The following is a 12358-nucleotide window of genomic DNA, read 5'->3' on the forward strand; positions in this document are numbered from 1 at the left end:
AAAAGTAGCCTGCAGTAGCGGGCGCCTGTAGTCCCAGCTACTCTGGAGGCTGAGGCAGGAGAATGGTGTGAACCCGGCGGGAGGCAGAGCTTGCAGTGAGCCGAGATTGCACCACTGCACTCCAGCCTGGGTGACAGAGCAAGACTCTGTCTCAAAAAAAAAAAAAAAAAAAAAAAAAAAAAAAAGAATTCCAGTTTTGTTGATAGCAGTTTTTGGGGGTCAGGGAAAGTCAGTCTTGTAGGGATGAATGGCAGGAAGATGCTGTAAGGATCTGGGATGGAGAGCTACAAAAGTCAGGCATAATAATAATACAGGACCTAGTTATGGGAGATGGGCTCCCAGCTGGCCATTACAACTCGGGAAAAGGATATTCCACATTTTTTATGAAGACACTGCCTGGTGGAAATCAGGGCTAAAAAGCCACAACATTGCCATAGTTTTTTGTTCTTTTGTTTTTGAGACAGAGTCTCGCCCTGCCACCCAGGCTAGAGGTTAGTGGTATGATCATAGATTACTGTAACCTCAAACACCGGGGTCAAGGGATCCTCCTGCTTCACCCTCCCAAGTAGCTGAGACTGCAGGCACATGCCACTTCACCTGGCTACTTTTTTTAATTTGTAATTTTTTTGTAGAGACTGGGCCTTGCTTTGTTGCCCAGGATGGTCTTGAACTCCTGGGCTCAAGCAATCCTGCCTTGGCCTCCCAAAGTGTTGAGATTACAGGCGTGAGCCACCACACCTGGCCCACTGTCATAGTTCCCATGTTTTGCGATTTTTTTTTTTGTGGTCATAGAGTTTTTTTTCTATTTTGACCTAAATTTCTTTAGCATCAGTTCAAACTTTTCCTCTTGGGGTTTCAAACAGGTGACTCTTGGTCGGGCGCGGTGGCTCAGGCCTGTAATCCCAGCACTTTGGGAGGCCAAGGCGGGTGGATCACAAGGTCAGGAGTTGAAGACCAGCCTGGCCAAGATGGTGAAACCCCGGCTCTACTAAAAATAGAAAAATTAGTTGGGCATGGTGGTGGGTGCCTGTAATCCCAGGTGCGCGGGAGGCTGAAGCAGGGAATTGCTTGAGCCCGGGAGGCGGAGGTTGCAGTGAGCCAAGATCATGCCACTGCACTCCAGCCTGAGCAACAGAGCGAGACTCCGTCTCAAAAACAAACGAAAAAACAAACAGGTGACTGTCATCTCTTTATTCATCTTTCCTACACTAGTATTCACAAAGTAATATTTGCCCTTTGAAGGTAAATGGTGTCAGTTCCAGTGGTAGCCGTGAAAGTCAATGAGGAATGCTATGGTCTTCACGTCCATAGTGTTTTGACATTATTCCCAATGTTTGTCAGAGATGACAGCTTACTTGTGACCTACTCTGATTTGTAGGTTCAGAGCCTCGGTTTCTATGCAAATGTAACTTGCCCTGGACTGTCATTGCCTTTGCAGCATGTTGATGAGTGGAATATTGGCCGGCTGAGAACAATCCTGGACTTGGTGGAAAAGGAGAGTGGGATCACCATTGAGGGTGTGAACACCCCATACCTGTACTTTGGCATGTGGAAGACATCCTTTGCTTGGCACACTGAAGACATGGACCTCTACAGCATCAACTACCTGCACTTTGGAGAACCAAAGTCCTGGTACAGTCTGCCTGCAGTCGGCACCGGGCTTCTATGCTAGAGCACGGGCTCATGTTCATTGTGCGTGGGAAGCACCTCAGGATTGTGTTAAAGGGCAGACCCTGGTTCAGGCTTGGGGTGACATTCCATGTTTTAAACACACTTTCAAGTGCTAAGATGCTTGCTGTTGGAGCTCTGGTGCTCGGACCACCTTTTGAGTAGGGAGGCTTTAGAGAGCAGGGTGCTGGCAGTTACCCAAAGACACGGGGGCTCTTCCAGGCTATCCCACTGCTTTCTAATTTTTTTTCTGAACAGGCCTGAGGCATTTCTTAGCAGCAGACTTCCAAGACTAGAGTCACTCTCTCAGATGACAGAAAGCTTTCTTTTCGTCATGGAAAAAATACTAATACTTGGGGAGCAGCAGTGTGTGCTTAACACATAAGGGATTGCGAGGCTATTCAGCATGCTTCCTGTTCTCCAGAGTGTTATTCTTGTTGGTGAGACAAACATTGGTTCTCTCTCCTCTCTCTGTGCTGACCCATCTTTGAGTCTCAGCATTTTTTTTTTTCTATTTTGAGACAGGGTCTCACTCTGTCACCCAGGCTGGAGTGCAGTGGCACCATTATGGCTCACTGCAGCCTTGACCTCCTGGGCTCAAGTGATCCTTCTACTTCAGCCTCCCAGGTAGCTGGGTTTACAGGCGTGCACCACTATGCCCAGCTAATTTTTTTCCTTCTTTTTTTTTAGGGTAGAGATGGGGTCTCACTATGTTGCACAGGCTGGTCTCAAACTCCTGGGCTCAAGCAGTCCTCCTACTTCAGCCTTGCAAAGTGCTAGGATTACAGGCATGAGCCACTGTACCCGGCCCATCTCAGCATTTTAGTGAAGGTGCTGCAGATAACAGCAGTGAATAAGATGGATGAGATACCTACCCTCACACAGATAGGAGACTGGTCAGGAGGTAGAAAGTGTGAGAGAATGCTCATACGGTGTGGGGACAGCTCTGAAGGGGAAGAAGTGGGTGCTAAGGTCCACATAAGAAGGATAGATGGGATTAAAGAAGGCTTCTTTCAAAGAGGTGACAAGTGAGACCTAAAACATGAGAAGGACATAACCGGGTGGAGTGGTGGTGGGCTTAGCAGCTGGGAGATTGAGGGAAGTGTATCCAGGCAGTTGGAACCACAGACGCAGAGCTCCTGGATTAAGACAGCACATGAGGGCCAGGCGTGGTGGCTCACACCTGTAATCCCAGCACTTTGGGAAGCCGAGGTGGGTGGATCACCTGAAGTCAGGAGTTGGAGACCAGCCTGGCCAACATGGTGAAACCCGTCTCTACTAAAAACACAAAATTAGCCAGGCGTGGTGTGTTTAGGGAGCTAGGGGGAGTCTGCTGTAGTTTGGGTGCTGTGTAAAACGATGAGAAGTGAGTGATGAGGCCGGAGGGGACATCATGGGGCACATTATGGGGAGTCATGAAAACCATATCCACTTTCAGGTCTTTTTTCAGCATCTTCAGCCATGTTCTTTCTCAGGGGTTTTCCTTTCTTCTTTCAAGTGCTCTCCAGTTTCTAATCTTGGGGGAAAGAACCTTTTGAGCCTATGATTATCTCCTAACTACTGTCCTGTTTTTCCTTCCTCAGAAGGCTAGACTTGTAGGATGTGTAAATGTAGCTTTTGTGTCTTCACCATTGTTTACTCCAAAATTCACTGCTCCTGGATTTTTGAATTCTCTTATAAAAGAAGGTTTTCCAGTTATTATATACATTCTTAGGTCCTCTGAAGTGGGACCTCCAGAGCCTTCTGTATAGGGTTGCCTGATGGATCCCAGAGTCCTTTAGGTGACATTTTTGTCAACTCTTCTTCTCTGTTTTGTTTTATAATGAAGCTGTTTGCAGTGGGAGGATTTGTTGTTACTGTGGAATAATCTTCAGAAGAGATTAAAAAGGTTAAAACAGAGTTACTGTGAGTTTCAGAATATAAAGTTTAACAATTTTGCAAAAGTTTAATAGTCCTAGGTGTTCTTTTTTACTTTTCATTTTTTAGGAAGAGCAGTTTCTATGGTGTTTAGACACCCTACTGGGTAGAGAGGTAATTGATTGTTGGGTAATCAGTATATGTAGCTGTTGGGGAGATAAAGGGAAAGTGGGTTCATCAGCAGATACGGGGCTAGGTCTCTTAAGTGTCAGATCCATCTTTCACTTTGTTTTCCATCTTCCTCTTGCCTGCCCCCAGTTAGGCCTTTCAAGCATTTAAAAATACTGAGCATTTTTAAATACTGAGGTTATATAGTGACATCCTTCTTTTTTTTTCTTTTAAAAAATGTTATTATATGAACAACATTATAAAGGAGAGTAATATTATGTACCGTAAATCCTGGCTCATGGTGAACACTTAATAAACATCTTATTAAGTGAATGAATATAGAAGAAATAAATTCACTCACCTTCTTTATGGGCTCCTTACTCCTGTGCCCAAACAGTCTAATATTTCATTTTTTCAGATTCCTTTCTACTGCTTGGGAAGTTAAAAAAAAAATCTGCTATTTCAAGGTGTTTTGAGAGTGGGAATAAGTCCCTTAGCTTCTGTACCTGCCCTCCACCCAGCCTCTGATGCTCTCATGTGATTGCAGGTACTCTGTTCCACCTGAGCATGGAAAGCGGTTGGAACGCCTCGCCAAAGGTACTGTGTCTCTTCTGTTTGCTGGATTGGACCCTCCTATGAGCTGTGCTCCTTGCTCTGCACTAAAATGTGCGTTCCCCATGGTCAGATACTTGCAGGTCCTGTTGCAGGCCTGCAGACGGGGGTGAGCCACACTGGTTACCTTAAGAGGGCAGTGACGGAGCCTTTTCTTCCTTTGTCCTGACTGTCTGTGCCTCAGTTTTAATGAGCAGGGGTGTTTCTTTGACCAGCGATAATGAACCAGACCCAGTATGACTGGTGTTTCCACTAAAGACCCAAATGTTAAAGAAAAAATTGAACTTTATGCTTTGTTTCTTTTAAGTGGACTTAGATTTGTATGTCTGGAGAACATAGGAAAGCCTGGGTAGATGATACTACAGCTGCATTACTGAAAAAAGATCAGGGATACAAGTGACTGGAGAAAAGGTCCTAAATAGTTTCAAAGCTCTATAAGAACAGAGGCAGCTTGGGTGACCTTGGTTTCCCAAACAGGATTTCATTACCCACGTAATGCCCTACATGGGAGTGAGCCTAGAGGCTCATTGCAGAATCTTAGAATTGGTGCGGAGCTATAAGGATCCTCAGAGGTCACATTGGTGATGCATCCTCTTTATCATTCCGATGAGAAGCACAGGTGTGAAGTGACTCCAGGATTGCGGAGCTAGTGTGGAGCACTGTGTTAACCTGTACCCTTTCAATTAAATAGGCTTTTTCCCAGGAAGTGCTCAAAGCTGTGAGGCATTTCTCCGCCACAAGATGACCCTGATTTCCCCGTTAATGCTGAAGAAATATGGAATTCCCTTTGACAAGGTGAGCTGATGTTACATGCCAAAGTTCTCAGGCACCACCCTTTCTGGCCTTTGTTTTACAGTTTTATTCTAGTTCATCACTATACCAAGAGGGGGCCAAAGCTTAAATAAACTATGTAACAACACTTTGATCTAAGAGCATTAAAGGTGGGGCCACTGTAGCTTCCTGGTGCCAGAGGAGAGTCAGATCCCCTAGAACAGTGTTCATTTGGAGGAATGGTTAATTATAGTCATGTCATCTGATATGTCTGGGCTTTGCATTTTATAGAAGACAGCAAGGACCCCAGGGGTTTTATGACTTACCCTTTGTTACTCAGCTAAGTTGTGGTGGAGCTCAGAATTCCAGTTCTGTGGACTTCTGCCATTTGAAGCAGCTGCTTCAAGTCTGCTCTTGTTCAGGTGACTCAAGAGGCTGGAGAGTTTATGATCACTTTCCCTTATGGTTACCATGCCGGCTTTAACCATGGTTTTAACTGTGCGGAGTCTACCAATTTTGCTACCCGTCGGTGGATTGAGTACGGCAAGCAAGCTGTGCTGGTAAGTCTGCTTGATTTCTTTCTATAACACCATGACAAAAATGAGCAAATTCTGGTTAGATACGTTGGCTGGTGATTAGAGTATTTCTTTGAGCTGCTGGAATTCAGAAACAAGCAGCTAGCAATGTGTCAGAGTACTAACATTTTGTGTTCATAAGGAATTTTTAAAAATGTGTTCAGAATTGGGAAGTATAAAATGAGGTTCTTAAGTCCATTAGGCATTAAAACCACATCCACACACGTTAATACTCTTGTTTATCCATTCCGAGATTTCTCTGTTGAAATTTTTAGGGGTTTCCTTTACTCTAGGGAAGCAGCAGGGTCGGGCCTTTGACTGATAGTAGTAGACTTGCTTGTGTGTTCCTGGCTTGGACAGGGAACAAGGGCAGGTGGCTCACCGTCCTGGGGGCCTAAGTGCAGAGCCTAACCACCCTCTGTGACCCCGAGTTAGTGCCCAGGTAGATTTGCCCCAGTAGCATGTGCTCTCTGCCTTTTTTTCCCTGCTTCCCTTCATGTTTGAAGGTCCTGCAAGGATAACATGCCCTCAGCCTGTGAACCAAAACAATCTGGTTATAAACCATCTTGCACTTGTTTCCATGTGGAGGGAGGAGCTAGGACGTGGGGGTGAGTTGGAAGCAGCAAGGTATGCTCACCTGGTGCTCTTCTGGTTCCTGCTGACAGTGCTCCTGTAGAAAGGACATGGTGAAGATCTCCATGGATGTGTTTGTGAGAAAGTTCCAGCCAGAAAGGTACAAACTTTGGAAAGCTGGGAAGGACAACACAGTTATTGACCATACTCTGCCCACGCCAGAAGCAGCTGAGTTTCTTAAGGAGAGTGAACTGCCTCCAAGAGCTGGCAACGAGGAGGAGTGCCCAGAGGAGGACATGGAAGGGGTGGAGGATGGAGAGGAAGGAGACCTGAAGACAAGGTAACCCAGCAGCCCTTTTGTCCTGGCTGCGTGAGGGAGGGATGTCTGGGTAGGTCCTGTAATCTGTGGAGAGGCTGTTTCTTGTTTTTTTTGTTTTGTTTTGTTTTTGTTTTTGTTTTTGTTTTTGATGGAGTCTCGCTCTGTCGCCCAGGCTGGAGTGCAGTGGTGCGATCTCGGCTCACTGCAAGCCCCGCCTCCCGGGTTCAGGCCATTCTTCTGCCTCAGCCTCCCGAGTAGCTGGGACTACAGGCACCTACAGCCACGCCTGGCTAATTTTTTGTATTTTTAGTAGAGACAGGGTTTCACTGTGTTAGCCAGGACGGTCTCGATCTCCTGACCTCGTGATCCGCCCACCTCGGCCTCCCAAAGTGCTGGGATTACAGGTGTGAGCCACCGCGCCCGGCCGAGGCTGTTTCTAAGATGCCGTTTGTGCCTTGGCTAAGGGAGTGTTCTTGGTAAAGGCTCCAGAAACCTGAGAGCCAGAGCATTCAGGCACTTTCTGAATGAGAGACCTGTAGTGGGCGTGTAGTCTGCTGGAGCAAGGCGTCAGTTATATGAGGGTCGGGGGCATTTATGTGCGAAGGTCGGGCTCCCTCTGAGCCAGAAAAGTCATGTTTTCTCATCATATCAGAGAGTCTTTTAAAAAGAAGTGTAGTGAGGATGAGACTCAAGGGCATTGGTAATGTCGTGATTTAAGTCTGCAGTGCTATTGGTGGCTGAGCCAGGGGATCTGTGCTCTGAGGAGAATTTATCCTGGGCCATATGGGAAAGAAAGGAGGAACCGTTCCTTGGTACCTGCTATATGCCAGGCACTTTGCCAGCTACTCTGCATACCTTTTCTTAATCCTCACAACAAATCTGTTAGGTGGGTGGTAATACCTGTATTTTCCAGATGATTGAACAAGGTCAGAGAGGTGAAGTCCCTTGTCTCAAGTCACAAATAAGAGGTGTCCCTGAGTTTTGAGCCAGGCCTGACAGGCTCTGGCCATTCACTTTGGGTTGTGTGTGGATGTGTATGAATGTGTTTGAGTAAGTGGATGTATATGTGGGCTCTTAAAAGATTTGCCCTCTCCCTTGCAGCCTGGCCAAGCACCGAATAGGGACAAAGAGGCACCGAGTTTGTCTTGAAATACCACAGGAGGTGAGTCAGAGTGAGCTCTTCCCCAAGGAGGATCTGAGTTCTGAGCAGTATGAGATGACGGAGTGCCCGGCAGCCCTCGCCCCTGTGAGGCCCACCCATAGCTCTGTGCGGCAAGTTGAGGATGGTCTTACCTTCCCAGGTTAGTTGACTATGGTGTATTTTCCACAACCCTAACTCATATATGTGTCCCGTGTTAGATGCCATATTGAGTGCTGGGTCAGAAATAAAAAAGGCAGAGTGACAGGTCCGTGAGCAGATAGCATACTTGGAGTGTGAGAAGTGCTTTGGGTAGGGATGTACAGGGAGGACTGGACACGTAGGGAAAAGCTCCTCCCTCTGCCTGGTCAGGGGTCAGGGAAACACTGGAGGTTTTGGTGAAGGTGACTCTTACAAGGTAAGTAGGACCTTCCCAGGCGGACAGAGAGAGAGGAGGGATGTAGAAAGGGAGTCCCAGATGGGAGGAGCAGGGCACAGGCATGGAGATGGGAATTTTTTTTTTTTTTTTTGAAATGGAGTCTTGCTCTGTCATGCAGGCTGGAGTGCAGGGGCGCAATCTTGGCTCACTGCAACTTCTGCCTCCTGGGTTCAAGCGATTCTCCTGCCTCAGCCTTCCAACTAGCTAGGACTACAGGTGCCTGCCACCATGCCTGGCTAATTTTTTTTTGTATTTTTAGTAGCGATGGGGTTTCACCGTGTTGGCCAGGCTGATCTTGAACTCCTGACCTCAGGTGATCCGCCTGCCTCGGCCTCCCAAAATGCCAAGTGGGATTACAGGCGTGAGCCACTGTTCCCAGCAGAGATGGGAAATATTAATAGCATGGTCCACTTGGGGGAACTGGTGGGGAGTTTCCCTCAATTGAATATTAGGGTGGAAGGCAGCTGTGTGACCAGAAGGTGACGCTGGAGAAATAGGAGATGATGTAGGGCTGTCTGCCATTTTCATTTGCTCACTTGGAAGCTTAAGAAGCCATTTATATTTTAAGAGAGGGAGTGGTGTGATCAGTGCTGTTTAGCAGTCACTTGGAAGGTCATTGAGGCTAGATTTGTTAGAGAAAGGCTTGTATCTGTCTTGGGTCAGGTATGACCCAAAGATGTGGTCTGCCGACAGCCAGGCAGCACTGTGGACTGACACCCTGGGCTGGGCTGGCTTCTCTTCAGCAGATTTTCTTTCCCTTTTTTCTCTTCAAATTTATTTATTTATATTGACAGATAAAATCGTGCATATTTGTCTTGTACAACATAATTTTTTTGTTTGTTTTAGAAACGGGGTCTTACTGTGTTGCCCAAGCCTTTGTGAACACAGCTCACTGCAGCCTCAACTTTCTGGGCTCAAGCAATCCTCTTGCCTCAGCCTCTCAAGTAGGTGGGACTACAGGCATACACCACGCCTGGCTAATTTTTTTTTTTTTTTTTTTTTTTTTGAGACGGAGTCTCACTCTGTCTCCCAGGCTGGAGTGCAAAGGCATGATCTTGGCTCACTGCAACCTCCGCCTCCCGGGTTCAAGTGATTCTCCTACCTCAGCCTCCCAAGTAGCTGGGACTACAGATGCTTGCTACCACGCTGGCTGATTTTTGTATTTTTAGTAGAGACGGGGTTTCACTCTGTTAGCCAGGATGGTCTCGATCTCCTGACATCGTGATCCGCCCACCTCAGCCTCCCAAAGTGCTGGGATTACAGCAGTGAGCCACCATGCCTGGCCCATGCCTGGCTAATTTTTAAATTCTGTAGAGACAGAGTCTGACTTTGTTGCCCAGGCTGGTCTTGAACTCCTGGGCTCCAGCAATCCTCCCATCTTGGCCTCCCAAAGTGCTGGGATTACAGTTTTGAACTACTGCTCCTGGTCCAACATGATTTGTGAAGTATATATAAGTTGTGGAATGGGTAAATCTAGCTGTTTAAAATACATATTCACATAGTGGTCATTTTTGCAGTGAGAACATTTAACATCCACCCTCTTAATATTTTTCAAGATCTTTAGATTTTCTAGCATGGGCTAGGTAGCCAGGTCTCTGCTGAGCTCAGACTTGCATTACCTGCAGGAGACTTTGGAGGAAATGGCAGCTGCCCCTTACTGAGTGTCTGCTGAGTGCCAGGCGGTGCTCAGGAGTCTTATTTATGAGCCCTGTAGATCTGTAGTAGCATCTTCTCATTACAGAGGAAGAAGCTGGAGGCCAGGAGGCTGAGCAAATAGCCCTGGCTCACAGTGCCCCTCAGTGACAGAGCCAGGATTGGAAGCCAGGTCCCATTCCCCGCCCATGTTCCTTGTGCTTTGCCCTCTGCCTTTCATCAGGTTCACATGTGCAGGAGGAACTTGGCTCTGTCTAATGTGTATGTGTGTTTCAGATTATTCTGACTCCACTGAAGTCAAATTTGAAGAGCTTAAAAATGTCAAACTAGAAGAGGAGGATGAGGAGGAAGAACAAGCAGCAGCTGCCTTGGATCTTTCTGTGAATCCTGCGTCTGTAGGGGGACGCCTTGTCTTCTCAGGCTCCAAAAAGAAATCATCTTCTAGCCTGGGCTCTGGCTCTTCACGGGATTCTATCTCTTCTGATTCAGAAACTAGTGAGCCTCTCTCCTGCCGAGCCCAAGGGCAAACGGGAGTTCTCACTGTGCACAGTTATGCCAAAGGGGATGGCAGGGTCACTGTGGGAGAGCCATGCACGAGGAAGAAAGGAAGCGCCGCTAGAAGTTTCAGTGAGCGGGAGCTGGCAGAGGTATGGGCTCCAGGCAGTGGTGTGGGGTGGGGAGCTGCCCTGGAGGACACCCTGTCGGGAGGGGATCTGTGTGGGGGAGGGAGGTGGATCTGTGTGATGGAGGTGCTGCAGGAGGGCAGGAGAGACCCTCAGTCAGTGCCTCTAGCCAGCAGTGGTTGTGTCAAACAAAAGCCTGGGGTGGCATTCACTCTCCCAGCTTGTTCTTTGCTGGGAGTTGCTTTTCTGTTATCCCTGTGGCTACTGATTCCAAGAATTGCATCAATGCAGCCTGAGTCACAGCAGCAGATCCTCCTCAGCCCACTTGGATCACAATGCCTTTTTTTTTTTTCTTGAGATAGAGTCTCTGCTCTGTTGCCTAGCTAGAGTGCAGTGGCATGATCTTGGCTCACTGCAACCTCTGCCTTCCAGGTTCAAGCAGTTCTCCTGCCTCAGCCTCTCGAGTAGCTGGTATTACAGGTGTGTGCCACCACACCCAGCTAATTTTTGTATTTTTAGTAGAGACAGGGTTTCACCATGTTGGCCAGGCTGGTCTGGAACTCCTGACCTCGTGATCTGCCCACCTCAGCCTCCCAAAGTGGTGGGATTACAGGCGTGAGCCACTGTGGCTGGCCTTTTGTTTTTTTTTCTTTTTTTTTTTGAGACGGGGTCTCGCTCTGTTGCCCAGGCTGGAGTGCAGTGGCACGATCTTGGCTCACTGCAAGCTCCGCCTCCTGGGTTCACACCATTCTCCTGCCTCAGCCTCCCGAGTAGCTGGGACTACAGGCGCCCACCACCACGCCCAGCTAATTTTTTGTATTTTTAGTAGAGACTGGGTTTCACCGTGTTAGCCAGGATGGTCTCGATTTCCTGACCTTGTGATCCGCCTGCCTTGGCCTCCCAAAGTACTGGGATTACAGGCGTGAACCACCGTGGCTGGCCTTTTCAACTGGGGTAGGCAGGAACTCTTCCTCTGATCCTCATTGCCTTAGCGGCACCAGGGTTAGAATGGCTGCTGTTGGAGCCCACGTGTTTGGAGGTTTGGGATCAGATGAGATGACCTTTCTTACCTTGAAATTCAAGGGTTTTTTTCTTACACCTCTTGACTGCCCTGTAGACTCCCAGTATGACATTGATAGAGCATCCTTTTGGAGACCAAGATGCATTCCCAAAGCTATAAACACGAACATGTGTGTTCAGGCTTCCTCCTTAAATACATGTTGTCACCAAAAGCTGATTCCTGCTTTTGTGCAAAATGGCTCTTGGTGGGTCTGCCACTCTGAGTGATCAGTCATGTCAGATGCCACTGGACCCCCACTACCCAAGTGACTTTCCCTGACTCCCCAGCCTTGGAGCTTATGTGGGTCAAGCTGCAGTCTTTGGTGAGGGGTGGGAGATAGAAGAAGCCAGTGCAGAAGGTCCTCTTTATTCCCTATTCCCTTACCTTTAGTTTTTAAAAATGTATCTTAAAAATCTTCACTATGGAAAATTTCTGACGTACGTACAAAATACCATCACGAGCCCCCGCGTGTACTCATCATATATATGATTAACATTTGGCACATTTGCTTTCTGTTTTCTTTGGCTGCAGTACTTGACACTCAGTCATATTCACATTTCCCTAGTGTTGCCAATAGTCCCTTTTTATGGTAGGTTTGTCTCCTTGTTGTTGATACTCATAACTTTTCTCGGTGCCTTCTCTGAATCTCAGGGTACGGTTTTGGTAGACTTCTTTTTACCTTGTGAATGTTCCTCTTTCCATCCCACTGTGGTTGCAGGCTAATGAGCTAATAACTACTGTGTTTCCTTCTCATTGCCTCTGATTGCAGTTCTCTGTGCCTTCTTATGGCAGCTTCCATAAAGGAGGGCTTTTTCAGCCTGGAAACCAGAGTCTCTTTAACTCCCAGTTGCCACCTAGCAATTCTTCCTTCGCAGAGGCCCCGGGCCATTTCATCCATCCTA

General features: G+C 47.4%; 1 protein-coding gene and 1 long non-coding RNA gene across 2 annotated transcripts in view, besides 3 other annotated features; one reads left to right on the forward strand and one right to left on the reverse strand.

Moving 5' to 3' along the window:
• The window catches only part of KDM4A (lysine demethylase 4A), a 55370-nt gene that overhangs the window by 11307 nt on the left and 31705 nt on the right, over window positions 1-12358 (forward strand). The window contains exons 5-11 of the mRNA NM_014663.3: window positions 1439-1632; window positions 4241-4290; window positions 4997-5100; window positions 5499-5636; window positions 6317-6564; window positions 7645-7844; window positions 10050-10420. Of these exons, the coding sequence (NP_055478.2) occupies window positions 1439-1632; window positions 4241-4290; window positions 4997-5100; window positions 5499-5636; window positions 6317-6564; window positions 7645-7844; window positions 10050-10420 (1305 nt within the window). The remainder of the gene's footprint in view (window positions 1-1438; window positions 1633-4240; window positions 4291-4996; window positions 5101-5498; window positions 5637-6316; window positions 6565-7644; window positions 7845-10049; window positions 10421-12358) is intronic.
• LOC124904165 (uncharacterized) lies at window positions 2175-6377 on the reverse strand. Its single transcript, XR_007066050.1, has 3 exons — window positions 6289-6377; window positions 5403-5657; window positions 2175-3536 (listed from the first exon to the last, which is right to left on the reverse strand). It is a non-coding gene; the product is annotated as an uncharacterized LOC124904165 (long non-coding RNA).
• Window positions 2786-2865: an enhancer, noted in NCBI's record as "active region_920". NCBI's record gives its function as "activates an Ori minimal core promoter by ATAC-STARR-seq in GM12878 lymphoblastoid cells {active_cell/tissue: GM12878}" and the evidence as "EXISTENCE:reporter gene assay evidence [ECO:0000049][PMID:35858748]".
• Window positions 3156-3215: an enhancer, noted in NCBI's record as "active region_921". NCBI's record gives its function as "activates an Ori minimal core promoter by ATAC-STARR-seq in GM12878 lymphoblastoid cells {active_cell/tissue: GM12878}" and the evidence as "EXISTENCE:reporter gene assay evidence [ECO:0000049][PMID:35858748]".
• Window positions 4857-6056: an enhancer, noted in NCBI's record as "BRD4-independent group 4 enhancer chr1:44131983-44133182 (GRCh37/hg19 assembly coordinates)". NCBI's record gives its function as "activates an origin of replication core promoter dependent on BRD2, P300/CBP, MED14 and CDK7 cofactors, and independent of BRD4, by STARR-seq in HCT116 cells {active_cell/tissue: HCT116}" and the evidence as "EXISTENCE:reporter gene assay evidence [ECO:0000049][PMID:35650434]".

The sequence above is a fragment of the Homo sapiens genome, chromosome 1, assembly GCF_000001405.40.
Source record: "Homo sapiens chromosome 1, GRCh38.p14 Primary Assembly".
In the NCBI taxonomy this organism is placed as follows: Eukaryota; Metazoa; Chordata; class Mammalia; order Primates; family Hominidae; genus Homo; species Homo sapiens.